General features: G+C 56.9%; 2 protein-coding genes across 13 annotated transcripts in view, besides 11 other annotated features; both read left to right on the top strand.

Moving 5' to 3' along the window:
• On the top strand, positions 145-20018 carry P2RX1 (purinergic receptor P2X 1). Of its 10 annotated transcripts, none has more exons than XM_006721529.3 (12): positions 145-521; positions 11243-11390; positions 11681-11752; positions 12211-12280; positions 12586-12682; positions 13030-13059; positions 13267-13408; positions 16849-16976; positions 17586-17676; positions 18061-18126; positions 18500-18601; positions 18731-20018. In XM_006721529.3, the coding sequence occupies exons 1-12, from the start codon at positions 385-387 to the stop codon at positions 18794-18796; spliced, it is 1149 nt and encodes a 382-aa protein (XP_006721592.1). In that variant the 5' UTR covers positions 145-384; the 3' UTR covers positions 18797-20018. The 10 variants fall into 10 exon arrangements, with proteins under 10 accessions (XP_006721592.1, NP_002549.1, XP_011522199.1 ...); NM_002558.4 differs by having other exon boundaries at positions 12979-13059; XM_011523897.3 differs by having other exon boundaries at positions 12979-13059; positions 17526-17676.
• Positions 972-1041: an enhancer, noted in NCBI's record as "active region_11528". NCBI's record gives its function as "activates an Ori minimal core promoter by ATAC-STARR-seq in GM12878 lymphoblastoid cells {active_cell/tissue: GM12878}" and the evidence as "EXISTENCE:reporter gene assay evidence [ECO:0000049][PMID:35858748]".
• Positions 1764-1833: an enhancer, noted in NCBI's record as "active region_11527". NCBI's record gives its function as "activates an Ori minimal core promoter by ATAC-STARR-seq in GM12878 lymphoblastoid cells {active_cell/tissue: GM12878}" and the evidence as "EXISTENCE:reporter gene assay evidence [ECO:0000049][PMID:35858748]".
• Positions 1944-2023: an enhancer, noted in NCBI's record as "active region_11526". NCBI's record gives its function as "activates an Ori minimal core promoter by ATAC-STARR-seq in GM12878 lymphoblastoid cells {active_cell/tissue: GM12878}" and the evidence as "EXISTENCE:reporter gene assay evidence [ECO:0000049][PMID:35858748]".
• Positions 2254-2323: an enhancer, noted in NCBI's record as "active region_11525". NCBI's record gives its function as "activates an Ori minimal core promoter by ATAC-STARR-seq in GM12878 lymphoblastoid cells {active_cell/tissue: GM12878}" and the evidence as "EXISTENCE:reporter gene assay evidence [ECO:0000049][PMID:35858748]".
• Positions 2394-2453: an enhancer, noted in NCBI's record as "active region_11524". NCBI's record gives its function as "activates an Ori minimal core promoter by ATAC-STARR-seq in GM12878 lymphoblastoid cells {active_cell/tissue: GM12878}" and the evidence as "EXISTENCE:reporter gene assay evidence [ECO:0000049][PMID:35858748]".
• Positions 4887-4956: an enhancer, noted in NCBI's record as "active region_11523". NCBI's record gives its function as "activates an Ori minimal core promoter by ATAC-STARR-seq in GM12878 lymphoblastoid cells {active_cell/tissue: GM12878}" and the evidence as "EXISTENCE:reporter gene assay evidence [ECO:0000049][PMID:35858748]".
• Positions 5337-5386: an enhancer, noted in NCBI's record as "active region_11522". NCBI's record gives its function as "activates an Ori minimal core promoter by ATAC-STARR-seq in GM12878 lymphoblastoid cells {active_cell/tissue: GM12878}" and the evidence as "EXISTENCE:reporter gene assay evidence [ECO:0000049][PMID:35858748]".
• Positions 12118-12796: an enhancer, noted in NCBI's record as "H3K27ac-H3K4me1 hESC enhancer chr17:3807108-3807786 (GRCh37/hg19 assembly coordinates)". NCBI's record gives its function as "activates a minimal SCP1, AML or CMV promoter by ChIP-STARR-seq in naive H9 embryonic stem cells {active_cell/tissue: H9 hESC(naive)}" and the evidence as "EXISTENCE:reporter gene assay evidence [ECO:0000049][PMID:30033119]".
• Positions 23111-23650: a silencer, noted in NCBI's record as "silent region_8024". NCBI's record gives its function as "represses an Ori minimal core promoter by ATAC-STARR-seq in GM12878 lymphoblastoid cells {active_cell/tissue: GM12878}" and the evidence as "EXISTENCE:reporter gene assay evidence [ECO:0000049][PMID:35858748]".
• Positions 23557-27321, top strand: part of CAMKK1 (calcium/calmodulin dependent protein kinase kinase 1) — a 32739-nt gene continuing 28974 nt past the window's right edge. For 2 of the 3 annotated variants that reach the window (NM_032294.3, NM_172207.3), the window contains exon 1: positions 23557-23671. Coding sequence is in view for 1 of the 3 variants with exons in the window: in NM_172206.2 (NP_757343.2) it covers positions 25880-25917 (38 nt within the window). In the remaining 2 variants the exon portion in view is untranslated. Of the gene's footprint in view, positions 23672-25866; positions 25918-27321 lie in introns of those variants that run through there. The other variant, NM_172206.2, reaches the window with a different exon arrangement.
• Positions 23681-23860: a silencer, noted in NCBI's record as "silent region_8023". NCBI's record gives its function as "represses an Ori minimal core promoter by ATAC-STARR-seq in GM12878 lymphoblastoid cells {active_cell/tissue: GM12878}" and the evidence as "EXISTENCE:reporter gene assay evidence [ECO:0000049][PMID:35858748]".
• Positions 24001-24250: a silencer, noted in NCBI's record as "silent region_8022". NCBI's record gives its function as "represses an Ori minimal core promoter by ATAC-STARR-seq in GM12878 lymphoblastoid cells {active_cell/tissue: GM12878}" and the evidence as "EXISTENCE:reporter gene assay evidence [ECO:0000049][PMID:35858748]".

The raw sequence follows: 27321 nt of genomic DNA, 5'->3' as shown, positions 1-27321 counted from the left end.
TCCTGCCAACAACTCCTGTTTCCGGAGGCCCAACAAGGCCCACGCAGAGCCAGGAGGGGCAGTGGGGCTGGGCCTGGGTGGCCCCACCAGCCCCGCCCCATCTATCTTTGGGAATTTATTTGTCCATGGGCGAGGCTGGCCTGCAGTCTGTTGCCTTCCAGGGGCCAAGAGCTGCTCTGATCACCCAGGGATTCTCTCTCCAACCCAAGTGCCTCCAGCTGACCTCTGGCTCCTGTCCTCTGGCTCCACCTGCACCGCCCTGCTCTTCCTAAGGGGCCAGGAAGCCCCCAGAAGCTCTACCATCGACGTGGGTGGTGGCACCCGGCTCACCCTGAGAGCAGAGGCCGTGCAGGGGGCTCAGTTCTGAGCCCCAGCCGGCCCACCATGGCACGGCGGTTCCAGGAGGAGCTGGCCGCCTTCCTCTTCGAGTATGACACCCCCCGCATGGTGCTGGTGCGTAATAAGAAGGTGGGCGTTATCTTCCGACTGATCCAGCTGGTGGTCCTGGTCTACGTCATCGGGTGAGTCCGGGCGCCTCCCGCTGCCTGCACCAGCCCCTACCCCGGGCCTGTCCTCCAGACTCTGACATCCCTTGCGTGACACCAGCGAGCCCCTCTTCCTCTCCATCCAGGGGAAGGCCTTCCTGGCAAGCCACTGTGCGAGAATAGAAAATCCTGCCAACTCGCTGTTGAGATGGGGACGAGGCCGGAGGGGAAGCCCTGCCCGGGGGCCTTCGGTGAACAGGAGGCAGAGTCTCTGGGTTCTGAGGAGCCGGCTCAGTGTTATGGTTCCTTTGAGTGGTTAGTGGTGTTCAGGGCCAGGGCACCACCAACCACAGCCACTGAGTCCTCGACCTCTGACCGCCTGCCAAACCAGGCCGCCACTGACACACAGAGGCCATACCCCACACCCGTCACCCCATATGACAAGTTAGAGAGAGACAGACTCTGCTGCCAGCTTCCCTGCCTGAGCAAGGGACATCCAGGGACGTTTGAGGCCCCCGGAGCAGAGAAACTCTCACATTCTGAATACCTGGTGCCTTCATGTTGGCATGTCAGGCGGAGGACAGAGATTGGTTCTGGTCCCAGGGATGATAGTTCCTTTCTGGGCATCTCCGGACCTGTCCCACCGGGCTGGGAGTGCAGAATCAGAGGCAGCGTGGGACGCTCCTGCAGTATGGTTGTCTCGGGAGCCAAGACAGGCCTGGCAGAGGCTGGCACACTTGTGAGTGTGCATATGGAGCTCTGTGCCTATATGTGTCTGGGTGTGTGTCCCTGGTGCTGAGTGCCCACATGTGGGTACCCTTATGTGTACATATGGCTGTGCCCATGTCTGCCCTGTGGCCAAGTGTCTGGGTGGCCAGTGTGTGTCCCCTGTGTGTGGTGCATCTTGTCCACTCACAGTGACTCTGCAGAGGTCTCCTGGAGGCCCCAGGGCCACTGGAGGGGGCTCAGCCCCTGCTGGGGTCCTAGGGGTGCCCAGTAGCCCCTGCCTGCCTTTGCCGTGTGATTCTGAGAGCTCTACCCTCCCCATTTTTACCATGGTTCCGAACCAGAACTGCTAAATGGAGTCCAGGGCAGGCTGACCCAGGGCCCAAACAAGGACCATGAAGTCCTAGTCCCCCGGAAACTTCTGGCGTCCAAAAGAGCCCTCCTTCTGTCCCACCAGTCCCCAGAACCTCAGAGCCGGCCAGGTGGACCCAGGGCCAGACCCCAGCCTTGACCTCTCCTCTCTCTTGTTCAGAAACTAATTTGACATCTGTGATGTCTGAGCTTGTGAGGGAAACTGAGGCCCAGAGAGGGGCAGTGGGGTTTCCAGGTCCACAGCAAGTCAGCAGCAAACCCAGGGTTGCAGCTGAGCCCTCCTGACCCCCAGGCCTCTGCTGTGCCTTCTCCTTCCTCACCATCACAAGGGGCTGTGGATCCTTTCTACTGGGCACTGATGGTGGGATGCCAGGTACAGGACGGGCCGGAAGTCCACCCTTAGTATCACTCCTGACCGTCCCTGGGAGAGGCTGTCTGCGCAGGCCCAGCCTACCCTTGCTGGAAGAGGCTGGGGGAAGGCTGTCCTCTCTCTGCCCCTGCGGCTCCCTAGTTCTGCTTTCAGATCTGCAGGTGTGAGGGGCACCAGGTCCCTCCTCTGTGTGTGTCACAGGCTGTCAGCGTTGGAGGGACCCACCCATTCCCAGCCGTAGCCTATGCCCCAAGCTGCTGCCCAGCCGGGAACCTATACCTCCAGTGACGGGGACCTCACTACCGTCCTCCTGCCTGTCTTCCCTCCCAAGACTGTCTAATCAGTTTCCAAATGGATGTGGCCCTTCTCGGTGTCTGTGGGGCTCAGGACCACAGGGATTAGCCAGGATCTCACAGCTTAGTAAGAGACTAACCAGGATTTGAACCCACCTGCATGGCTCCAAAGTCAGCCTTGATATTCTGGAAAGGCAACCTCCTCAGAGAGAGGGCACTGGCCTGCCCACGTCACACAGCAGAGGGTGGAAGGAAGGCAGAGTCCGTCATCACCAGCAACCCCCAGGGCTGCAGGCCCAGGCTTCCAGCTCCTGCTCAGGCTGTGGTGCCTGCTGTCTCTTGCGCCCTCGTCTGGCCACTGCTCAGTACTGCACTGACCTCTCAGCCAGGAACCCACAGCGGCAAACCGAACCCCTGACCCAGCCTGGACTTGGTCTTGGCATCTCCGGACTCAGCTTCCTAACCGGCCCGTGGGGCACGGGTTGCAGGGGACCACCCCCCCCAAGAGTGCACTCAGCTCAGCACTTTGCTGTTTCCTGAGGAGGGCTTTGCTTTCATGTCTGATCCTGTGGGCACTGCCAGGGGATGGAAAGGAGCATGAGAGAAGAGCCAGGCCCCCGTGTCCCAGACACAGGGCAAAGCCTGGGTGGGGGATGGGTGGACACAGAGACAGACCTGGACAGAGGGACAAACGCCAGAGCACAACTCAGACGAAGGGTGGGAGGTCCCGAGACTCAGAGATGGACAGAGTTACTGAGGCTGAGCAGGGAGGCTGAGAAGCCAAGAACACAGACTCAGGAGGAAAACCGAGGCCATGGTCTCCGCCAGTCATGCTCCTCCAGGAGATCCTGGGCAAGTGCAGGCAGTGAGTGGGCCTGAGACCAGAAGGCTGAGCTGAGCTGACCCTCTCAGATCCAGTTAAGATGGTCTCAGTTAAGGCTGGGCACAGTGGCTCATGCCTGTCATCCCAACACTTTGGGAGGCTGAGGTGGGAGGATCACCTGAGGTCAGGAGTTTGAGATCAGCCTGGCCAACATGGTGAAACCCCGTCTCTACTAAAAATAGAAAAAATTAGCTGGGTGTGGTGGTGCACGCCTGTAATCCCAGCTACTTGGGAGGCTGAGGCAGCAGAATCACTTGAACCCTGGAGGCAGAGTGGAGCTGAGATTGCCCCATTGCACTCCAGCCTGAGTGACAGAGTGAGACTCCATCTCAAAAAAAAAAAAAAAAAGATGGTCTCAGTTAGAGCTCTCCCCGAAGAGCTGATGAGCTCTCTGTCCCTGGTGGTGTACAGGCAGTGGGGAGGAAGCCAGGGAGGCCTTCCTGGAGGAGGTGACACACTGATGGAACCAGCCATAAGCAAAGACCTGGGGGCTGTGGGCTGGGCTGGCCTGCTCTCAGCTTTCTCTCCAGTCCCTCTGGGTCTCTTCTCAACTAAGTCCTCACTCATCCCCTGCGCCTCCACACAGACCTCTTGAAATCACATGTTCTGAGATCTCCAAGTGGAGATCAGAGTGCACCAATCAGGGAGAAGGATGGATAGAAATTATTGGGGGGAGAAACACATCCAGGGACCGTTTCTGCAGCATCTTCTCCATGCCTGGTGCTGTGCCGGGGAACAGAGGTGGGACATGGAATGGAGAGAGGGAGAGGGAGGAACTGAGGGTGAATTAGCCAGACTCCTTTGGTTCCTGTGAGAAAAGTCTAATCAAACAGATTTAAAAGGAAGGGTGGGCCGGGTGCGTTGGCTCACGCCTGTAATCCCAGCACTCTGGGAGGCTAAGGCGGGTGGATCACTTGAGGTCAGGAGTTTGAGACCAGCCTAGCCAACATGGTGAAAACCCATCTCTACTAAAAATACAAAAATTAGCTGGGTGTGGTGGCGCACGCCTGTAATCCCAGCTACTCGGGAGGCTGAAGCAGGAGAATCGATTGAACTTGGGGGGCGGAGATGGCAGTGAGCCGAGATCGCACCACTGCACTCCAGCCTGGGCAACAGGGTGAGACTCCGTCTCAAAAAAAAAAATAAAAAAACAAACAAATAAATGAATATATAAATAAAAGGAAAGGTGGGGGTATCCGGTGGTTTATGTAACTGAAAAATCAGTGTGGGTTTCAGGCCCGGCTGGATCCTCCAGGATGAAGACACAGGAGGAGTAAGGTTTAGAGGGGAGAGGGGATGAGGAATTCCTGCGGGTCCAGTCTTGGTTCTCAAAAGAAGCTGCCCATGACCTATCTCCCTTTCCTGGCTCTTCTTTCCTCTGTGGAGGCTTCATTCTCAGGCAAGTTCTCTGTCTTCACAGTGGTGAAACGGCCACCAGCAGCTCCAAGCTAACATCTCACCAGTTTAGCCACTCCCGAGGCACAAGAGTGGCTCCTTCTCCAGAGCTCCAGCAAAAGTCTCAGGTTCAATTCTTATTGGCCGGGGTCGGGTCCCGTGCCCACCCCAGAACCAATCAATCATTGCAGTCAAGGAAACGGAATGCCCTGATTGGAGGAGCCTGGTTGCGTGCCCACCCTTCCAGGCTCTCCTGTCGGGACACAGTGTGAACCAAGGTCTTGGGGCCGGAGAGGAATAGAGAAGGTGTCACTGGGACTAGGCTGAAGGGGCCATAAAAGGAGCCCAAGGGAGAGGCTGTGAAAGGGAGAGCAGGGGCGATGGCGAAGGCCTTTGAACACCAGGCTGAGGCGCCCGGATTTCTTCTGCAGGCAGAAGGGAGCCAAGACAGGATGTCTAGCAGGGGAGGGCCTGGAGCAGGCAGGGGTGGGCGTGGGGACCGGAGGCAGGACAGCTGTGAAGAGGCCGCAGGGATGGGAAGGGGGGACGGGGCGGGACCCAAGGCAGAGGCAGTGAGCACGGGTGACAGATGTCGTCACCCCGGCAGGCCTCACGCCTGGGGCGGCCCCTGCTCAGCTTCTGCCCATTGTTGCCGCAGCACGTAACACCTGGCACAGCCAGAGCTTCCGACGTCTCAAGAGAAGTGGGAAGTGAGATTTATGCATGAAAGAAACCGCTTGGTTTTTAGAGATTGGTGACGTATTCAAAAAAAAAGAAAGAAAGAAAGAAAGAAAAACAGACCGGGTGCCATGGTGCACGCCTGTAAACCCAGCACTTTGGGAGGCCAAAGTGAGCGGATCACTTCAGCTCAGGGGTCCAAGACCAGCCTGGCCAACACAGTGAGGCCCTGTATCTAAAAAAAAAAAAAAAAATTACCCAGGTGTGGTGGCGCGTGCCTGTAGTCAGTCCCAGCTACTCAGGAGGCTGAGGTGGGAGGATCACCTGAGCCTGGAAAGTTGAGGCTGCAGTGAGCCACGACTGCACCAGTGCACTCCAGCCTGGAGGACAGAGTGACACCCTGTCTCAAAAATAAATAAAGAACAATAAAAATAAAATAATTAAAAACACAAATGGTTGGCCTGAGATTCAATTCCACATTCAGTTAGTCATTCAACACACAGTGTTTGTTGAGTTCCTATTATGTGCCAAGCACTATTCTAGACACTAAAAATACAGAAGTGAACAAAACAAACCAAGATCCTGCACTCAAGGAACTTAACCCAGATGCCCCTCGACTTGTCTGCGGGTTGCATGGGGGCCTCAGGGTGGGCCCCAGTTCTGAGCACATTCCCTCCCAGGCCTGGAGTCTGCTCATGCCCCTCCCCAAGGCTGCTGCTCCCTGACAGCACACGCCCCATCTGGTCAACTCCTGCCTGTGGCCCATGGCCATACCCTGTGTCCCACCAGCCACCTGGCCGGTCCTCCCAACCCATGCCAGAGCTGCCCCCGCACCTGTCCCAGCTCCTCCAGTGTCTCAGCCTTCCCAAAACCAGCCCTTCTGGGTCCTTAGATGAAAGCCGAGGGAGGACCAGAAGGACTGGGGGATCCAATGAATGTGGGGGCATGATGGGGAGGGTGGCTGTGAGGATGCTGCCTGGGTGTTGAGCCTGGGTGATAGGGTGAGGACAGCACCATTCTCCATGACGAGGACACAGGGGAACAAGTTCTAAAGGGAGATGAAGAGTTCAGGTTGATCCAATTGAATTTCTGTCTGTATAGTGGTTAGTGCTTGGCACGAAATAGATTTCGTAGGCCGGGCACAGTGGCTCATGCCTGTAATCCCAGCACTTTGGGAGGCAGAGGTGGGTGGATCACCTGAGGTCAGGAGTTCAAGACCAGCCTGGCCAACATGGTGAAGCCCCGTCTATACTAAAAATACAAAAATTAGCCAGGCGTGTTGGTGTGCGCCTGTAATCCCAGCTCCTCAGGAGGCTGAGGCAGGAAAATCGCTTGAATCCGGGAGGCAGAGGTTGCAGTGAGCCTAGATCGCCTCATTGCACTCCAGTCTGGGGGACAGAGCGAGACTCCGTCTCAAAAAAAAAAAAAAAAAAAAAAGAATTTATCAGGACATCACCACATTGTAAATTGAGGAGCATCTGGACTTAGCGTGGTTTGACTTAGGATTTTTTGACTTTATGGTGGGTTTATTGGGGGTATTAAGAGCCTTTTGACTCAGGATGGGTTTATCAGGTTATAGCCCCATCGTCATTTGAGGAGCATCTGTGTAAGACCCTTGGGTGCGAGATTTTTGTTTGTTTTGTTCACTTTTGTGTTTGTTTTGTTCAACAGTGTTTGGCGCATGAATAGGGGCTGGATAAATACGTGTTTGTTTTTGTTTTTTAGTAGAGACAGCGTGTTACTATGTTGCCCAGGCTGGTCTCTAACTCCTGGCCTCAGGTGATCCTCCCCTCTCAGCCTCCCAAAGTGCTAGAATTGCAGGCCTGAGCCACCACACCCGGCTCATGTTTGTTGAATGATTGAATGTGTGGAATTGAATCTCAGGGGAGAGTGCAGTCTGGAGATAGAATTCTGGGGACACAGCGTGTCTGAGGCAGCTCACTCAGGGAATGGGGGCGGATCAACATTGAAAGAGGAATTTGTGAAGGAGGAACGGAGAACAGTGAAAATGGGAGGTTTTCATTATATGTGCCCACTGAGTGCCAGGCACTGTGCTAATTTCCTTAAGAACTCATAGAGGCCGGGCGCGGTGGCTCCCGCCTGTAATCCCAGCACCTTGGGAGGCCGAGGCGGGCGGATCACGAGGTCAGGAGTTCCAGACCAGCCTGACCAACATGGCGAAACCCTCTCTCTACTAAAAATAAAAAAAATTAGCCGGGCGTGGTGGGGCGCGCCCGTAGTCCCAGCTACTCGGGAGGTTGAGGTGGGAGAATTGCTTGAACCCGGGAGGTGGAGGTTGCAGTGAGCCAAGATCGTGCCACCGCACTCCAGCCTGGGCAACAGACTGAGACTCCATCTCAAAAAAAAAAGAACTCATAGAAGCTTCCCCCAAACACTTACCTAGATGCTTCTGTCTCCTGGGGCCCAGGCTGAGTTTGTAGCAGAGCCTCACTAAACACTTAATGAATAAGCAGCGCCTTTGAGGTAGGTGGCGTCACCTCTGTTTTATTGAGAAAACCAGGGCTCAGAGAGGTGTAGTCTCTAGCCTGAAGCCACACAGCTGGGGAGCAGCAGGGCTGGCACCTGACCCTCAGCCACTCCACCCTGTGGCCTCTTCCTTGAGAAGGCCATTGGAGAGCCCCAGGATGGGGGATTGCTGATGACGAGGTAGAAAGCATGGTGAGGGTTATTTCTGGAAGGGGAGAGGCTTCTGAAGATGCCTGTGTCTGACATCAGGCCCTCTTGGTTGTCTTCCCAGGGTGGTGACAATAAGGCCAGATCAAGGCATGGCTTTGGAGGAGCAGGCCTGGCACCATAGTCATTCTATTATTATTTTTTGTTTTTTTGAGACGGAGTCTCACTCTTGTCGCCTAGGCTGGGGTGCAGAGTGCAATCTTGGCTCACTGCAACCTCCGCCTCTGAGGTTCAAGTGAGTCTCTGCCTCAGCCTCCCAAGTAGCGGGATTACAGGTGCCCGCCACCACCATGCCCGGCTAGTTTTTGTATTTTTAGTAGAGTTGGGGTTTCACCATGTTGGCCAAGCTGGTCTTGAACTCCTGACCTCAGGTGATCCACCTGCCTTGGCCTCCCAAAGTGCTGAGATTACAGGCATGAGCCACCGCGCCCAGCCCATAGTCATTCTATTATCACCAGAGTTGAGGTCATGAATGCCAGATCTGACCGACCTTTCCCTTCGACCTCAAGACCGGCAGCTCCAAGGTGCATCAGCCCCGGCTTGTGGGCTCCAGGTGGCTCTGTTTCCCCTCTGTGCTCTGCCTCCTGGGAGACACGTCGAAGCCAGTGTTGCTCAGTGGAGGTGGGCTGAGTCCTGGGCTGGGTGCCTCAAGCATGGGGACACTTGAGACCGCCACTCCTGCAGGCCTCAGCTTCCCTGTCTCTTGGGAAAAGGTAGAAAGTTCGTTTTGGGCAAAGATAGAAACGTTGCTAAGCTGTTGGGGCTGAAGGTGCCGAGAGGGAGGTCAGTGGCCTGTCCTGCAGAGGGGCCCAGGACAAGGAGAAACTCCTCCTCCCCCCTGCATCAGCTCCTTCTGGCTTGGACACAGAACCAGAGGCCCTCCTGGAGGAAGGGGCCCAAGGAGGCCAGTGGGGGGATGGGCAATGCTCTTGCTCTCCCTGATGGGGCTGGAGGCAGCGTGACAGACTCAGGACACTGAGGATCAGAGGCCTTTGTCATGCCTCCACCTGTTGCTATCTGGGACCTGCAGGGGACAGCAGTGACCAAGCTTAGGCTTCGGGAGCATGTGACTTGGCCCCAGTGCCAAGGTGAGAGGGGGCTTAGAGAAGAGGTGGGTGGGCCATGAGAAGAAAGAAGAGGACATTGGTGGGTGGCCTCCCTGGGGCCTGCAGCAGGGAGAGAGGTGACTCTGGGACTAAGAGGCCTGGAGAGTTCTGTTACCAGATCTGAGCCCTGGGGGAAGGAGCAGGGAGTCCATTGCTTTGAGCTCCCCTTGGACAGGTGAGCTCGGGGTAGGGTAAGGAGTGGAGGGGGATGATACATCTGGCCACAGGTGCACTCACAGATTTGCCCTGCAGGTATACAGCCACACACCCCATACCCCAACACACACACACACACACACACACACACACACACACACGTTACCCTGAATCTCCAAAAAGAGTCTTTCCTCGAGGAAGGGGCCACAGCCTGGAGAGGAGTGTTATCCAGGACTATTTCATTTGCAAGCAACAGAAACCAAATCCGAACTGGCTTAAACAAAGGAAGGACATTTATTGGTTTACGTAACTGAAAAGTCCAGAAGTAGATTTTTCAACTGTGCTTCAGGTATGGCTGAATCCAGGTGCTCAAACAACATTGTCAGGATTCTGCCCCTCTCTATCTCCTGGCCTGGCTTTCCTCTAGGAGAGCTTCATTGTCAGGATTGCTCTCTCCAGAAGGTGGCAAAGATGACTACCATAGTTTTCGTCTTGCAGCCACCCTGCTTAGCCACTCAATAGACAGGATGTTTCTTTCCTGGCAATTCCCAGAAAAGTCCTGGCCTCATTGCTGAAACTCCTCAGGTCATGTGCGTGTCCTTAGACCCGTCACTGTTACTAGGGGGATGGAACATTGATTGGCAAGCCTTGGTTATCTGCCCAACTCCTGGGGCTAAGAGGGAGGTTAGCCTCATGGAACCTTCCAGACTGAAAGTGGAGAATCCAAAGGAACGGGACAGCTCAATGCTGGGAAGGCAAGGCCAGAATTTCCCAAGAAAACTGGAAGACCTCCCGACTGAGCCACTCCCACAGTGCCTCGACCGAGGGGCTGGACGCTGCAAGCCCTCCAGAGGACCACCTCCCTGCTCTGTTTTCCTCGCTGTCTCCCAGGGGGTCCCAGCATGGCTGGATCATAATAACAACTAATGTCTATACTGCATTTATTCTGTGCCATCCCCATTCTGAGTGTTTCTACATGTATGAACTCACTCACTTGATCACTACAAGAAGTACCATTGTTGGCCGGGTGCGGTGGCTCATGCCTATAATCCCAGCACTTTGGGAGGCCGAGGCGGGCGGATCACTAGGTCAAGAGATCGAGAACATCCTGGCCAACACGGTGAAACCCCATCTCTACTAAAAATACAAAAAATTAGCTGGGCGTGGTGGTGCATGCCTGTAATCCCAGCTACTCAGGAGGCTGAGACAGGAGAATCGCTTGAACCCGGGTGTAGGAGGTTGCAGTGAGCCGAGATGGCGCCGCTGTACTCCAGTCTGGGTGACAAAGCGAGACTCCGTCTCAAAAAAAAAAGAAGTACCGTTATTATTCCTATTTTATAGATGAGGAAACTGAGGCACAGGGGATTGAATAGCTTACCCCAAATCCCACAGTAAGTATGGAGCTGGGATTTAGACCCAGGCTGTTAGGCATTGAAGACCATATTCTCAGCCTTCGTGCTCTGTTGGGACCTCTGGAAGGAGGAGCACCCTGGAAGGAGGAGGCTTGGCCTCCAGGCCCCAGCAAACTCTGTTCTTGGAAAAGGATTGGAAAGAGTATTTGAATTAGCAGTTTCTTTCTTTCCTTTTTTTTTTTTTTTTTTTTTGAGACAGAATTTTGCTCTTGTCGCCCAGGCTGGAGTGCAATAGCGCGATCTCGGCTCACTGCAACCTCCGGCTCCTGGGTTCAAGAGATTCTCCTGCCTCAGCCTCCCAGGTAGCTGGGATTACAGGCACCCACCACCATGCCAAGCTAATTTTTGTATTTTTAGTAGAGACAGATTTCATCATGTTGGCCAAGCTGGTCTCAAATTCCTGACCTCAGGTGATCCACCCGCCTCGGCCTCCCAAAATGCTGGGATGGCACGCCCGTCCTGAATTAGCATTTTCATAGTGAAAAGCACCGTGGAACTTCAGGCCCAGGCCAGCAGCGGGAGGCAGGGGAGGCTGTCCTGCCTCTAGCCCAAGACAGGAGCTTTAGGAGCAGATGGTGGCTCAGAGGCACATCTGGGGAGGGCGTGGGAAAGCGTGTGACAGGTCCAGCTGGTGCCACAACCACAACTCCCCCTCTGTCCCCACCCGCACAGGTGGGTGTTTCTCTATGAGAAGGGCTACCAGACCTCGAGCGGCCTCATCAGCAGTGTCTCTGTGAAACTCAAGGGCCTGGCCGTGACCCAGCTCCCTGGCCTCGGCCCCCAGGTCTGGGATGTGGCTGACTACGTCTTCCCAGCCCAGGTGAGCTGGCTCAGGTTTGCACCTTCCCCTCACAGGGCCTGTCTCAGAGTTGGGTGGGACTCTGTCCCACGTCCCTGTGGGACCAGCCCAGCTCCTCTTTCTCTCTGGACCTCTGTGAATGCCGGGCAGAAGCAGCCTGGTGATATCACCCCATGTTGGTGGCAGGGGGTGTGGTGGCTGCTGCGTGTCCTGTGGGCTCTAGGGGCCTCTGCTGGGGCAGCGGTGGGGCCCTTGGGGCTCTTCTCCCAGCTCCCAGCCCACCCCACCCTCCCCCTGCCCCTCACTTCTAGGGGGACAACTCCTTCGTGGTCATGACCAATTTCATCGTGACCCCGAAGCAGACTCAAGGCTACTGCGCAGAGGTGAGGACTTCTGCCCGCCAGCCCCCTTCTGGGACTCACAGGGGAAAATGACGTGCAGAGAAAGTCTCCAGGGGCACTGGAGGGGAAGCCAGAGAGGCTTCCTGCAGGGGCCATAGTGATGGAAATTTGGGCGCATATTCACACACAGCAACTGTCAACCCTTGCAGAGCTGAGCCTTCCCGCCCAGCACACGGTGTACCAGGCAGGGTGCCGAGACTTCGTGCCCACCCCCACCGCCCAGCTGACATTGGCAGTGGGCAGCTGGGCATGAGCCCGGGGGGCGCCTCGGCAGAGCAGTGTGGGGGGAAATGGGGGAAGGAGGCTGTGAGCAGGCGTCACTCCAGAGAGGTCTGAGACTCTGCCCCACGCTCTCCCTAGGGCCCTGGGGGGTGGGGAGAGGGGCTCTTCTCAGGACCCCACCCAAGGGGCCTGGGACCAGCAGCTTTTGCCTCCCCCAGCACCCAGAAGGGGGCATATGCAAGGAAGACAGTGGCTGTACCCCTGGGAAGGCCAAGAGGAAGGCCCAAGGTAAGGTCAGCCTCCTCCTGTCCCTCCACAGTCCCCCGGCTGCGGTCCCTGACGTCCTGCAGGCCCAGCTTGGTGCTGACCTGCCTCTCTCCACACCCCTCCCGCCGAGGCGGCCTCCGGGAGGGACTCCCTCCTGCCGTCTCCCCTCCTCCGCCCTGGCTTGGCCTGCCCGTCCGGGACCCAGCCACGTTTCTGTCCTTGGCTCCTTTGCTTGAGTGGCCCGTCACTGGGAGCTCCTGGAGAAGGGGTCTGGGGCGGCCTCCTCTGTTTAGTGCAGGCACCCAGGGGTTTCCCTCTGGCTCCAGGCATCCGCACGGGCAAGTGTGTGGCCTTCAACGACACTGTGAAGACGTGTGAGATCTTTGGCTGGTGCCCCGTGGAGGTGGATGACGACATCCCGCGGTAACACTCTGACCTTCCAGAGAGCTAAGAACAGGGTCCCAGGCCAGACAGAGGGGGGCCTAGGTCTAGAAAGGATCTTTACCCCTTTTTCTGACCCCACCCTCACCCCATCCGCGCAACCTAGGCTGAAGATTCCCCTGGGTCCTGGCCACGCTAGAGCACACCCACCCCTCCACCAGCCCAGGGCTGCAGGCGGGTCCCGGAGGCTCGGCCCACCCCCTGCTGTGCCAAGCTCTGTGTGGGACACACAGGGGGCCTCCTGGGGAGGGGCGGTGAGTGCGTGTGGTGTCCTCCAGCCCTGCCCTTCTCCGAGAGGCCGAGAACTTCACTCTTTTCATCAAGAACAGCATCAGCTTTCCACGCTTCAAGGTCAACAGGTGCGTGGGAAATTCGGGCAGAAATGCAGGCAGCTGGCCGGGGCCGCTCCGGCAGCTCTCAGCTGTCTCTGTCTCCCTCCATTCCTGCTGGCGTGGAAGGAATCAAAGGGGCAATGTGGAGCCTGTGAGGGGTCCCCAGGCTTTGGGGCGTGGTGGGCACCCTCCCGGATGACACACAGCAGCTGTCAACACCTTCCACCCCCACAGGCGCAACCTGGTGGAGGAGGTGAATGCTGCCCACATGAAGACCTGCCTCTTTCACAAGACCCTGCACCCCCTGTGCCCAGTCTTCCAGCTTGGCTACGTGGTGCAAGAGTCAGGCCAGAACTTCAGCACCCTGGCTGAGAAGGTATGGAGCATGGTGCCAGGCACGTGGGGAGGGCTGGGCCGCAGGATCCTGATAAAGGCTTTTTAGGCCCAGTTCATCTTCCCAAGTCTCCTCGGTGAGGGCTGAGTATATGTATGGGTCTGTCCCCTGATACTGGGGCCCCCTGAGCGTCAGATCCATGTCTTCAGCAGGTCCTGGCATGGAACTGGCACGAAGGAGGTGCCCAGAATGAACGGATGTGGGCAGACCTTGTCATCTGGATGTTTGTTGATGCCCTGCTTTAAAAAAAAAAAAAAACTAGATAAAAGCAGCTTGGTCAGGTGCGGAGGGTCGTGCCTATAATCCCAGCACTTTGGGAGTCAGAGGCGGGTGGATCACTTGAGGTCAGGAGTTTGAGACTAGTCTGGCCAACATGGTGAAATCTCCTTCTCTACTAAAAATACAAAAATTAGCCAGGCATGGTGACGCGCACCTGTAATCCCAGCTACTAGGGAGGCTGAGGCAGGAGAATCACTTGAACCCGGGAGGCAGAGGTTGCAGTGAGCTAAGATTGCGCCACTGCACTCCAGCCTGGGCAATGGAGCAAGATTCCATCTCAAAAACAAAAAAAAAACAAAAACAAAAATTGGCCGGGCACAGTGGTTCACGCCTGTAATCCCAGCACTTTGAGAGGCCACGGTGGGCGGATCACCTGAGGTCAGGAGTTCGAGACCAGCCTGACCAGTATGGTGAAACCCCGTGTCTACTAAAAATACAAAAAAATTAGGCAGGCATCGTGGCATGCGCCTGTAATCCCAGCTACTTGGGAGGCTGAGACCGGAGAATCGCTTGAACCTGGGAGACAGAGGTTGCAGTGAGCTGAGATCACGCCACTGCACTCCAGACTCGGGGACAGAGCAAGACTCTGTCAAAAAAAAAAAAATACAAAAATTATCTGGGTGTGGTGGCGGGCACCTGTAATCCCAGCTACTCAGGAGGCTGATGCAAGAGAATTGCTTGAACCCGGGAGGCGGAGGTTGCAGTGAGTCGAGATTGCACCACTGCACTAGTCTAGCCCAGGCGACAGAATGACTCCGTCTCAAAAATAAAAATAAATAAAAATAAAAAGGCAGCTTGAATCCTATAGCCTATGGCCCTGAGAAATCCTGTGCCCTGGGATCCTCGCAGTCACCTGGGATTCCGAAGAAGCAGTCCCTATGAGCGCAGAACTAGCTGACCGGGTTCAAATCCCAGCTCTGCCCCAAACGAGCAGTATGAACTCAGACAAGTCTCTTAACTTCAGTGGGTGTGAGTTTTTGGACCCACCGACGGGGGGCAATAATGGTGCCAGTCTCGTGGGGTCGCCCCGAGGGTCAAGTGAGTTGACGCGGTGTGCGTGGCGTGCCTCGCTGCCTGGCACGTGGGAAGCCTATACACCTGGCAGAGTTGACGCCGTGTGCCTGGCGTGCCTCGCTGCCTGGCGCGTGGGAAGCCTGTACACCTGGCAGCACGTGTCCCTTATTAGTCCTGCCCTTGCAGTTGCCTGTTCAAGAACGAAATCAATCCCTTTTCTGTGATGTTATCAAAATAACCCACTCACGACACATTTGTCTGTCTACAAGGGAGGTCAGCAAACTTTTTTTTCAAGGGCCAGATAGTAACTATTTTCAGCTTTGCCGGCTATATGGGCTCCGTGCCAACTACCCAAGTCAGCTGTGGAAGGGCAAGGGCAGCCACAGACCATATGTGAAGAGTGGACCTGGCCATGATCAGGCCCATGGGCCTCAGTTTCCTGACCCCTGGAGGGGGTTGATGCCGGAGCAACACACATGCTGAATGTTAGACCTCCCTGTTCCTAAAAATCTCCCTGTCATCAGGGCTGGGTGCGGTGGCTCACGCCTGTAATCCCAGCACTTTGGGAGGCCAAGGCGGGCGGATCACGAGGTCAGGAGATCGAGACCATCCTGGCTAACACGGTGAAACCCCGTCTCTACTAAAAATATAAAAAATTAGCCGGGCATGGTGGCGGGCACCTGTAATCTCAGCTACTCAGGAGGCTGAGGCAGGAGAATCGCTTGAACCTGGGAGGCAGAGGTTGCAGTGAGCCGAGATCGTGCCACTGCACTCCAGTCTGGGTGACAGAGCAAGACTCCGTCTCACAAAAAAGAAAAAAAAAATCTCCCTGCCATCTTCAACTGGGAACTTCTCAGTAACTAGGCTCCTGGCAAGTTTCCCAGCTCCCTGTCCCCTTCTCTGACCACCTTCCAGCTCTTCTCCTGTTGCTCAGCCTATCTCCACCTGTCCCATTACTCGCCTCGCCCAGAGGAGCTTCGCTTTCTCCAATGTTTTCTTCCCAATCCAGGTCTTCACAGATTCCTTCTTTAATTAATGCAGTAATTGTCTGCTTGCCTCCCACACTGTGACCTGTGCCAGGAACTCAGGAGTTGGTGATGAATGAGACAGATAGCTTCGTCCTCCTGGAGCTTACAGTCTTGGAGGAGATGGGTTAATACATAATCACACTAAATAAACTTATGATTATAAAGCGAGAAATGCTCCCAAAGAAAACACACGAGTGAAACAGAAGGGAATAACAAGGACGTATCTGGGTTACAAGAGCAGGGCGAAAATAAATAAATAAATAAACAAGAAATGGTCAGAGAGCTGGAGTGTGGAGGGTAATGGGAGGGAAGGCCAGTGAGGGTGACAGGACCTCTACCCCAAAACAGTTTCTCAGTATCTTTTCTTAAATAAAAAATGTCCAGTTTTTTTTGTTGTTGTTGATTTTTTGAGACAGAGGCTTGCTCTGTTGCCCAGGCTGGAGTGCAGTGGTGTGATCTCGGCTCACTGCAACCTCTGTCTCTCGGGTTCAAATGATTCTCCTGCCTCAGCCTCCCAAGCAGCTGGGATTACAGGCACCCGCCACCATGCCCAGCTAATTTTTGTATTTTTTAGTAGAGACGGGGTTTCATTGCGTTGGTCTGGCTGGTCTCGAACTCCTGATCTCAAGTGATCTGCCCACCTCAGCCTCCCAAAATGCTGGGATTACAGGTGCGAGCCACCACGCCCGGCTCCAAAATGGTCTGTTCTTGAGAGAGTGCGTGTACCAGCTGTGAGATGGGCTTTTTTTGTTTGTTTGTTTTTGAGACAGAGTCTGGCTCTGCACCCAGGCTAGAGTGCAGTGGTGGGATCTCGGCTCACTGCAACCTCCGCCTCCCAGGTTCAAGTGATTCCTCTACCTCAGCCTCCCAAGTAGTTGGTATTACAGGCGTGCGCCACCACACCTGGCTAATTTTTGTATTTTTAGTAGAGACGGGTTTTCACCCTGTTGACCAGACTGGTCTTGAACTCCTGGCCTCAGGTGATCCACCCGCCTCTGCCTCCCAAAGTGCTGGGATTACAGGTGTGAGCCACTGCGCCCGGCTGAGACAGGGGTTTTTGATCCTGAAATCCCAGATCTTAACTACTTGTGTCCCTGGCAGGGTGGAGTGGTTGGCATCACCATCGACTGGCACTGTGACCTGGACTGGCACGTACGGCACTGCAGACCCATCTATGAGTTCCATGGGCTGTACGAAGAGAAAAATCTCTCCCCAGGCTTCAACTTCAGGTGTCTGCCAGGCCCCCAGCAGCACATTCTTCCTTGTGGTCCTGCGGGCTTTTCTACTCCCAGAACACTTCAGGTCTGAGAAAGTGTCCCCAGAGGGGAGCAGAGGGTCCTGGGCAGCTCTCATTCTGCCTGGGTGGCCATGCAGGAAGCCAGCAGGGAGAAAGATATTGAAGTCTCAAATCCCCTGTCCCTGGGTCTCAGACCCCTTCAGGCCCACCTGGCCAGGACTAGCTGGGGAAATTGCTGACATTGGGAGCTGGGGCAATGGCTGAGCACAGCAGCCCACACCTGTAATCAAGGCATCTTGGGGGGCTGAGGTGGGATTGCTTTGAGACCAGGAATCTGAGGCTGCAGTGAGTTGTGATTACACTACTGCACTCCAGCCTGGCGACAGAGCGAGACTCCGTCTCACAAAAAAAAAAAAGAAAAAGGAGTTGGGGCAAGAGTTGAGTACAACTTTCCCAGAATGAGGCCTGGGATCCTGCCCGGTGTTGGGGATGAGGCTGTACTCAGAGACCACTAAATCTCCTGTATCCCTGATGCGCTAAGAACTCCAGACCCAAGACAGTCCCCTCCATCACCCTCCTGCCACCTCATCCCTTCCCCAAGGTTTGCCAGGCACTTTGTGGAGAACGGGACCAACTACCGTCACCTCTTCAAGGTGTTTGGGATTCGCTTTGACATCCTGGTGGACGGCAAGGTGAGTGTCCAGTGTGAGGGTGGTGGCAGCTGAGACACATTCTCAGCTCCTGTGAGTACCTTTGGGCATCTACAGTTATAGACAACCGGAAGTTGGGTGGGTTCATCCAGCAGTTTTACTTCTAATAACAGATGGTCATGGGGCATGTCCAGAGCAGGGCTTTGCAACCTGTGGCCATGCCTCCCCACAGTCTCCTTGCGCTCAGGGAGGCAGAGCCAAGGTCAAAACCCAGGTCTACTGACCAGCAGCTGGTGGCCCATGTAGAGTCCGAGGTGGGGACAGTTCACAGCCGAGGGTGGGGAAGTCCCCTTGTCCCAGGTCCGGCCTTTTCCAGCTGGGCCCCTTCCGACGGTTAGCCCTTCTCTCCCTGGGTCCTGCCACCAGGCCGGGAAGTTTGACATCATCCCTACAATGACCACCATCGGCTCTGGAATTGGCATCTTTGGGGTGGTAAGTGCTGGGGTCACCGGCTCACTGTGCTGGGGTTGGCCCCTCCTCTTCCACAATTCAGTAGCAGCAAGACGTCCCTCACCCTAAAACTTGACCCTAACTGTCTATCATTTTTGAGCCAGCAGCTGCCCACCCCACCAACTACATAGATCTAAGAAAACCAAGGCCCAGAGCTGGGGCAGGACAGAGTTGGGGTGGAACCATCTTGGTCCCCTGAGAGTCCTGCAGGGCCTCATCCACCCTCCAGGAAACTGGCCTCCAGTGAGGTCAGATCCAGCCAGGGCCTCACCACCAGGGACTGAGGTGGGATGTGGAGGGCTCCGTACCCACCCCCGGATTCCCACGCTGTCTCCGTGCCCTTCCCTGACCCCAGGCCACAGTTCTCTGTGACCTGCTGCTGCTTCACATCCTGCCTAAGAGGCACTACTACAAGCAGAAGAAGTTCAAATACGCTGAGGACATGGGGCCAGGGGCGGTAAGAGAACCCCCCGAGCCAGGCCCTTCGAAGGCCTCCGGCGCTTGTGTCTGTGTTGGGGTGGGGGGCGTGGGCAGCTGCTTCCCCAGCACTGACTTGTATCCCCCAACCCTTGCACCACGTACACAGGCTGAGCGTGACCTCGCAGCTACCAGCTCCACCCTGGGCCTGCAGGAGAACATGAGGACATCCTGATGCTCGGGCCCCAACTCCTGACTGGGTGCAGCGTGAGGCTTCAGCCTGGAGCCCTGGTGGGTCCCAGCCAGGGCAGAGGGGCCTCCCCAGGAAGTCTCCTACCCTCTCAGCCAGGCAGAGAGCAGTTTGCCAGAAGCTCAGGGTGCATAGTAGGAGAGACCTGTGCAAATCTGAGCTCCGGCTCCGACCCCACACACCCTGAGGGAGCCCTACCCTAGCCTCAGCCGCTCCTGGTGGGGAATGGCTGGGGCTGGGCAGGACCCTCCCACACACCTGCACCCTAGCTTCGTGCTTCTCTCTCCGGACTCTCATTATCCAACCCGCTGCCTCCATTTCTCTAGATCTGTGCTCTCCGATGTGGCAGTCAGTAACCATAGGTGACTAAATTAAACTAAAATAAAATAGAATGAAACACAAAATTCAATTCCTCGGCTGAACTAGCCACATTTCAACTGCTCAGTAGATACGTGTGGTTAGTGGCTGCCATACTGGACAGCTCGGGGCATTTTCACTGTCAAAGAAAGTTCTATTAGACAGCCCTGCTTGAGCCCTGTTTCTTCCTGGCCTTCGGTTTCCCTGGGGAACTTATCGACAATGCAAGCTCCTGGGCCCACCCCCAGACCTCCTGAACCAAAAGCTCCAGGGCTGGCCGTATGATCTGTGTGGATGGCAAACTCCCCAGGCCATTCTGGGACCTAAGTTTAAGAAGTGCCGTCCTCGAACTTTCTGACTCTAAGCTCCTGAGCGGGAGTCAGACTTAGCCCTGAGCCTGCACTTCCTGTTCAGGTGCAGACACTGAACAGGGTCTCAAACACCTTCAGCATGTGTGTTGTGTGCTCACGTGCCACACAGTGTCTCATGCACACAACCCAGTGTACACACCACCTACGTGCACACAGCATCCTTCCACACTGTGTATGTGAACAGCTTGGGCCCTGCAAACACAACCATCTACACACATCTACACCCCCAAGCACACACACATGGTCCGTGCCATGTCACCTCCATAGGGAAAGGCTTCTCTCCAAGTGTGCCAGGCCAGGACAGCCCTCCCAGCCATGAATCCTTACTCAGCTACCTCGGGTTGGGGTGGGAGCCCCAGCCAAATCCTGGGCTCCCTGCCTGTGGCTCAGCCCCAGCTCCCAAGGCCTGCCTGGCTCTGTCTGAACAGAAGGTCTGGGGGAAGCGACGGGTGGAGTACAATAAAGGGAATGAGGACAAACCTCTGCCGTCCGTGCTCTCTTTCCAGACCTCTCTGAAACACAGTGTGCTCGTCTGTGAAATGTGGGGCTGAGCTGGGCAATCTCTGAGATCCCTCTGGATCTGCCGGTGGGGACCAGTGAGCCGACTCATACGCCCTGAGCCCAGCAGGGTCAGTGCTGGGTGGAGAGGTCAGCTCACCTCTGTCCACGGGTTGCCATCTTGGCACAGCCCTGAACATTGGCGCTCTTCCCAACCCTCCATGGCTGGGAGAGGCCTGGCAGTGGCACAAGTAGAGAACCCCAGGAGTGGCCTCGTGAAACAGTGGGGAGGAAGGGGCTGGCTGTGCCAGGAGGGAGATCTGGCGGAATCCCAAAGAGGGGAGGAGGGACTTGACTGAGGCTGTGTGGAGGGCCCTGCTGTGGGCATGACCTCAGGCCTGGATTTACAGCCAGGTAGGATCTCTGGGCAGCATCCCCCACCCAGTCACCATGCTCTGTCTAGACCAGTGCCGTCCCATAGAACCTTCTGGAATGATGGAAATATTCTCTATCTATGCTGTCCAATAGGGTACCCAGAAGCCACAGGTGGCCTCGGTGGAAATATGCAGCCAAGGAAATGAAATTCGTATTTTATTTACTTTTAATTAATTAATCAATATTTTTTTTTTGAGACGGAATTTTGCTCTGTCGCCCAGGCTGGAGTGCAGTGGCACGATCTCGGCTCACTGCAGCCTCCAGCCCCTGAGCTCAAGCAATTCTCCTGCCTCAGCCTCCCAAGTAGCTAGGATTACAGGTGCCCACCACCACGCCTTGCTAATTTTTTTTTGTATTTTTAGTAGAGATGGGGTTTCACCATGTTGGTTGGCCAGGCTGGTCTCAAACTCCTGACCTCAGGTGATCCGCCTGCCTCGGCCTTCCAAAGTGCTGGGATTACAGGCGGGAGCCACCATGACTGCCCAATTTACTTTTAATTAATTTAAATAGTTACATGTGACTAGTGGCTACCAGACTGGACAACACAGGCCAGCCCCTGCCATCTCCCTCAGGGCCTTGGCCTTCTGCCCTCTTCCCCAACCAAGACCTATCATTTAGATTTTATAAGACTGGAACTTCCTCTTCTGCCCCCCCTTCTTTCTCCAGACACACCTGCTTTTGCACTTTCTGCCCCCTTCCCTTCCAAGTGAGCAGAAAAGGGTCCCTCCTCTGTATTCAGCCTCACCACCCAGCCCAGAGGCTGCCCAGCAGAAGCCACCTCCATTCTCCTACCCCTACATCTGTCCCCCTCTTCTGCCTCCTCCTGGCCCAGGTTCCCCAGCAGCTCTGCCCCTCTCCCCTCACTGCAACCCTTCCAGAAAGACCAGTCCACACTTCCCTCTGCAATTGGCCTCCACCCCAACCACTTCTCCTAGGTGCCCTTGCCAAGGTCACTGGCAGTGTCCTGGTTGCCAAGTCTTAAGCAGACACTTGGGCCCCATATCCTGCTTGGCCTGACAGCTTCTCACATTGTTGTCCAAGCCTTCCTTGTCGAAAGATTTCCTTCCAGCAGCTCCTAGGACACACCCTTTCCTGACTTCCCAGCCTGTCTGGCGTGCAAGGAAAAGACAGGTTTCAATTGCAGCTCTGCCACAGTTCACTGTGTGTCCTTGGGGGAAGTGGCTTAACTCTCCAAGCCTCCTCTGTGAGTCAAGGATAATAACAACTTCTTTTTTTTTTTTTTTTTAAATAGAGACAGAGTTTCACTATGTGGACCAGGCTGTTCTCAAACTCCTGGGCTCAAATGATACGCTCCACCTCAGCCTTCCAAAGGGCTGGGATTACCGGCATGAGCTACTGCACCCGGACAATAATAGCTTTTAGTAGGGTTGAGGAAAGACCTGTAAACAGCACCTGGCATACAGTCGAGCTCTGCCCCTCAATCTATCCACCCTCTCAATGGTGGAGTCCACTAGTTGTTCCGGATATCTGTTCTCCCGGTAGCAATTCAGTCCTTGGTTCTTGGTTGGGCATGTGGCTGCCCAGAATGGAAGCTGCATTTCCCAGCTTTCTCTTGCAGCTGGGTCTGGTCATGTTAAGTAAGCTCAAGCGGTGTATGTGAAAGTGCCACGTGGCAACTTCTGGGAACTTTCCTGAAAAGAGAGCTGGTGCAGACCCTCTGCCCTCTTCTTCATCCTTTTCTCCACTCCACTGCCTGGAATGCGTTATGTGATTGCTGGAGCTCTAGCTGGTATCCTGAACCATGAGGTCAAAAGCCACACTCAAGTTGCTGGAATTATTCATTCAACAACATCCACTGAGCACCTGTGCCATGCGACAGGCTGTGTGCTGGACGAATCAGGCACAGTGCTTGCCATCCAGGAGCTCCCAGTCCCAATGAGGAACCAGCAGGTAAACAGATGCCAGGTACAAGGAAGTACCTGGGTGGGGCCACTAACCCATGCTGGAAGTGGGGAGGTCATGGAGAAGGTTTCCAGGCAGAAGTAGGATTGAATTGAACCCTGAAAGACGAGTAGGCGTTAAACAGGCAGGTGGCTGGGAGTAAGGCTATACAGGGCTTGATTAGACCTATTCTCACGGTGAGCCATAGAAAATGCCTCTCGGTGGACTTGTGTTCCTGAAAACTTGCTCTGGGTGCCAGGGAGAGAAAGGCTAGTAGGAGGTGAGACTGGATGGGGCTGGAGGCCAGGGAGGAGGCTGCTGCAGCAATCAGGGACAAGATGGTGGTAGCCTGAGCTAAGGGAGGGGAAGTGGGGTGGAGAGGAGTGGGCCGATTCCAGGGATAGTTAAGAGGCAGTATGGCAGGGCCTGGAGATGGACTGGTTGGAGCAGGAAACAGGGAGGCAGCAGGTGACTCCCAGGCTCCTGGCTCCACTTCGAGACAGGGACGCAGGAGGTTAGATTTGGGGGAAGGATATGGGGCAAGTGGTGGTGCCAGAGGATTCACACGCGGAGGCGTTAGGGGAAGAGGTGGCGGCAGAGTCCCCAGGAACAGCCACAGCGAAGGTCACCTCACTGTCCTGCTGAGTTCCCTCTACTCCCTCGGCCCTCGCTAGGCCATTCCTGTCGCCGGCTCACCGAGCAAGCACTTCACTCTGTGCTAAGCCACCTCTCGGCCTCTCTGCCCCCGCCCCGCAGAAGCTACACTCCTGGGCCTGCCATTCAAGGCCTTCCTCCCCGGGCCTCGCCCCTCCCTCGCACGCACCGCGCCTCGCCCGGGAGGGAGGGGCGCTCTGGCTCCTGCAGGCCGGGATGGGGGCGCAAAGGGTTTGGCGGGGAAGCACGGTCCCCTGCAGGCCCAGGAGAAGGGCCCACGCCGCGGCCGGGAGGGACTTCGGGGACCCCAGGACGCCGGGGGCGTGGCGAGGTCGGCCCCGCCGCAGGGGAGGGAGGGCCCCTACCGCGCCGCCCACCGCGGTCCCTTAGTCCAGGAGGGGGCGGGAGTCCCGGGCTCCGATTGGGCGGCGCTGGCGGGGCCGTTCGCTCCGACCAATGAGCGCCGGCCGGGCGCGGCGGTGGGCGGGGCAGCGAGCGCTGCCCGGAGCCGCGGCGCCCGCGGGCTGAGCTCGGCGATCTGGGCCCCAGCGAGGCGGTGGGGCGGGGCGGGGCGGGGCGGGGCGCGCAGCAGGAGCGAGTGGGGCCGCCCGCCGGGCCGCGGACACTGTCGCCCGGCGCCCAGGTAGGGATCGGCGGGGCGGGGACGCGGGCGAGGAGCAGGAGGACGAACGCCTTAACACCTGCCCCGAGCCTGCAAGGGAGAGGCGGGGGGGGTCTGCCAGGCCGCGTCTACGAGGGAGCTGGGATCTGGTCAGGGCGGGGATCCTTCCCCTTCTGTCTGCGGGGCCGGGTCTGCGGGGTGCCTCGCGGAGTCTGCTCGGGTCTGCGCCGGCCGCCGGGACCGCATCGCCGCGGGTGCCCCGCCGTCTGCGTTCTTCCCCGCTTCTGTCTGCGGACCGCATCCATCCCCGGTGCACTGTCCCCCGCGCCCGGCTCCTGGTGGAGGCCACGTCTGTGCGGAGTGGGCCCGGCCCGGGGCACCCACGTGCGGTTCTCCGCGGAGCGCTCCTCCCACGGCCCGCCGGAGCGTCTTCCTGCAGGAGCCGGGGGCGGGGTGGGAGATGAATGGGGCGGCGGCGGCGCGCGGCTCAGGCTGCGCAGGGTCCTGCCTTGGCTGGGGCGAGAGGGGGCGGCAGAGGCGGGCGCTGCGGCTTCGGGGCCCGGGAGGCGCAGGGCTGGTGGCTGGGGGGGTGTCCACGTGCGCAGGGACCTGCGTGTGCTGTTTGGAGGCGGGTGTGCGTGTGTCACGTGGACGCGGGAGTGTGCCTGTGTCTGCGTGGGGGGTGCAGGACAGGATGGAGTGGTGTGTGAGGGCGGGTCACGCGGACACGGGCGTGTGCCTGTCAGGGGAGGGGGTGTGCTCAAGTCTTGGCGTTGCAGGGCTGTGCAGAGAAGGCTGTGTCACAGGCCACAGGACCGGGCCTTGGTGGTGTCCGCAGGGCGGGCACAGGAGTGTGGGAGGGGCACACAGCCTGTGCGCGCTGGAGGATCCCAGGGAAGTGGCGCTGGCCTCCCCAAGCCCTGCCCTCTTTCCTCCAGTACATACAAATTGACCCCCCACTGCGTCCCAGGCGCACACACTCTGGGGACCCTTCGCCTCTTCCTCGGTCTCCCACCGTCAGTCCTCACAGCAGCCATGGGAGTCGTTTTAAACCTCACCTAACCGAGGCACTCCCCTGCTCACAACCTCCCCCTGGCTTTGGGGGCCTCCTGGGCTCTGTCCACCAAGCTCTCCCCACCCCCAAACCAAGCCCGGAGTCCCAGCCAGGAAATGACTCTCCTATATGCACAGTGCAAACTTCCATCCTCGCCTCATCCTGAAATCCTGCTCAGTGCTCAGAAGAGAGCTCAGGTGCCACCTCCTCTAGGAAGCCATCCCTGAGGCCAGCACAATGAGTGAGGGGGCTTTCTCTCCAGATGTAACTCCTCTTGCTATCAGGTGCCTCTTATGTGGGGAAGACTCCACTCCAGCCACGTCAGCCTCCCTGCTGTTCTTCATACTGAGCAAGCACTGTCCCCTCATGGCGTTTGCACCTGCTGGTCCCTGCACCTGAAATGCTCTTCCCCAGATAACTACACTGCCTACTGCCCCTTCCTTCCTTCAGGTGTCTGCTCCAGTCCTGCTCCCAAAAGGCCTTCCTCAACTACACTGTATCAGCAGCATCTCCCAGCCCCTTTCTCTTGATCCTTCTTACTCGGCTGTATTTTTCTTCCTATATGTACCACTTGACATATCATATCTGAATCACTGGCTTTCTTGTTTGTTGCTTCTTGCCCCCACGAGAAATTAAACTGTATGAGAGCAGAGACTTGGTCTTTTTGGTTCACTGCTGTATCTCCCCACACAGGCTTGCACAGAGTCTGGCAGACAGCAGGTGCTCCGTGACTATTTGTGCTTGCATCCCAGGCGTCCATGTCCCTGGCTGCTCCCTAGCCTGTGACCCCCCCCCCAACCTTGCCCCCAGTCTGAGGCCACTTCTGCTCCTCTATCCATGACATTCCGAGTTCCTGGAAGGCCAGGTCTGGGAGAACTATAACCACATTTGCATGTTGGAAATCCCTCCAGCAGCTGGTGTGGAGGATGGGGTAGGGTGGGGTGGAGGTGTTAGCCTGGAGTCAGGGAAGACCCACATAGTGGGAAACGAAGCAGTGGGTAGAATCTGGACTTCTAAGGGGTTTGACTTGGTGAGCTCACCCAGCAGGTAGTGGGGAGATCAAGGAGGGCTCAGAAGAGGCGATGTCTGAGCTGTCCTCCAGGCAGCAGAGGAGAGGGAGGTGTGTTCCTGGCAGAAGGCACAGCTTGTACTGAGGCCTGGCAGCAGAACAGAGTATGCAATTTGGGAAGCTGTGGTGTGGCTGCAGTGGAGAGTAAGTGTGGGGTTGTGGGGAGCAAGGGTGGGCAACAGGGAAAGGACGAGTGACAAGGAGGGCTCCCGGATTGCTGACCTGGGTCAGGAAAGAATGGGGAGGGTGTGGTACCCGTCTCGCAATGGAGACAGAGGAGGACGAGCAGGTTTGGGGAAGATGCTGAGTTGAATCTGGGGCCTGTTGGATCTGAGCTGCTCGGGAACATGGACGGGGAGGTGGCAGCTAGCTGGAAAGAGTGGGGCTGGAGGCACAGACCTGGTGTGGAGGATGAGGAGGGGCAGAGGATGAGGCCTGGAGACCATCAGCCTCCGTGGGTGGGCCAGGACGATGCGCTGGGGGTAGCTGTGCTGAGTCAGGCAACAGCCCGTATTGGTGCTTGGGGGCTCCCCAGGGATGGTGGGAGCGGGCGTCCTCACAGCAGGAGTCGTCAAGCATGACTTGGCACCAGACGCCTGGGCCTCCCTCAAGGGGACTGAGTCATCCCGGGTGGGGGCGGGAGCTGCGGAGGGCACCCGTTGCCAGGGCCATCCAGATACTCGCCAGGATCATAAACACAGCTCCAGTGAGGCGGCCCAGGCATGGGAGGACCACCTTCTGTGTCTGGCCTGGGTGGCCGCCACCTCTGCGGCTTTCCCTTCTGTTCGGTCCTCTGCTGGTCACGGCTGTCCATCCCCTCGCCTGGATGTAGCTGGTCCCCTGCCTCGGCTTGGCACTGGGGTTCACAGCGGCCTTCCAGCGCTCAGAATGAGGCCTGACCAGGGCCTGACCAGCTCCCAGGTGGAGCTACTTGAACCCGCGTGGATGGCAGCAGGGTCTGCCTGCTCTGGGGCTCCTTTGAGGGATGCAGCTGGATGGGGCATGTCCTGTGGAAGAAGCCAGGCCAAGTGGGCGTCTGGAGCCGGGGGCCCACATTCCTTGGGAGTGGCCAGACGCTTGGGGGGTGGGGCACAGCCTGGGAGGAAAAACCTGGGTGGGGGATATGTGCCAGGCCATCTTGGAGCTGGGGGCAGAGGTGGGGTTGGACCTTGCACATCAAGGCTCTCTTGGACGCTTCTAGACACAGCCACATCCCAGCCCCACAGTGCTGTGGCACAAACTACTCCTGTGTCCACACCTCATTCTGTTCCTTCCATCGCCCTGGGAGTTGGCAGGACAGTGGCCTTCTGCTTGATGCACGTGTTAGGAAACAGAGGCTCCAAGAGGCTCGATGACTTGTCCGAGGCAGCAGATCCCCAGTCTGGGGGGACAGGATTGCAGTAGTTTTTCCCAATGAGGGAGGGCTTGAGTCTGGCTGTTCACGGCCGCAGGACTAAGCCAGTGCCCATGCCCACAGGAATCCTTCGCTGTACCATGGGCCTGGTTCCCGGCCTGTCTGTCCATCTTTCTGTTTGCCCACATGGCCCT

This window comes from Homo sapiens, chromosome 17, assembly GCF_000001405.40.
Source record: "Homo sapiens chromosome 17, GRCh38.p14 Primary Assembly".
Lineage (NCBI taxonomy): Eukaryota > Metazoa > Chordata > Mammalia > Primates > Hominidae > Homo > Homo sapiens.
The sequence above is the reverse complement of the archived record's forward strand: the minus strand, read 5'-3'. Positions and strand labels throughout refer to the sequence as shown.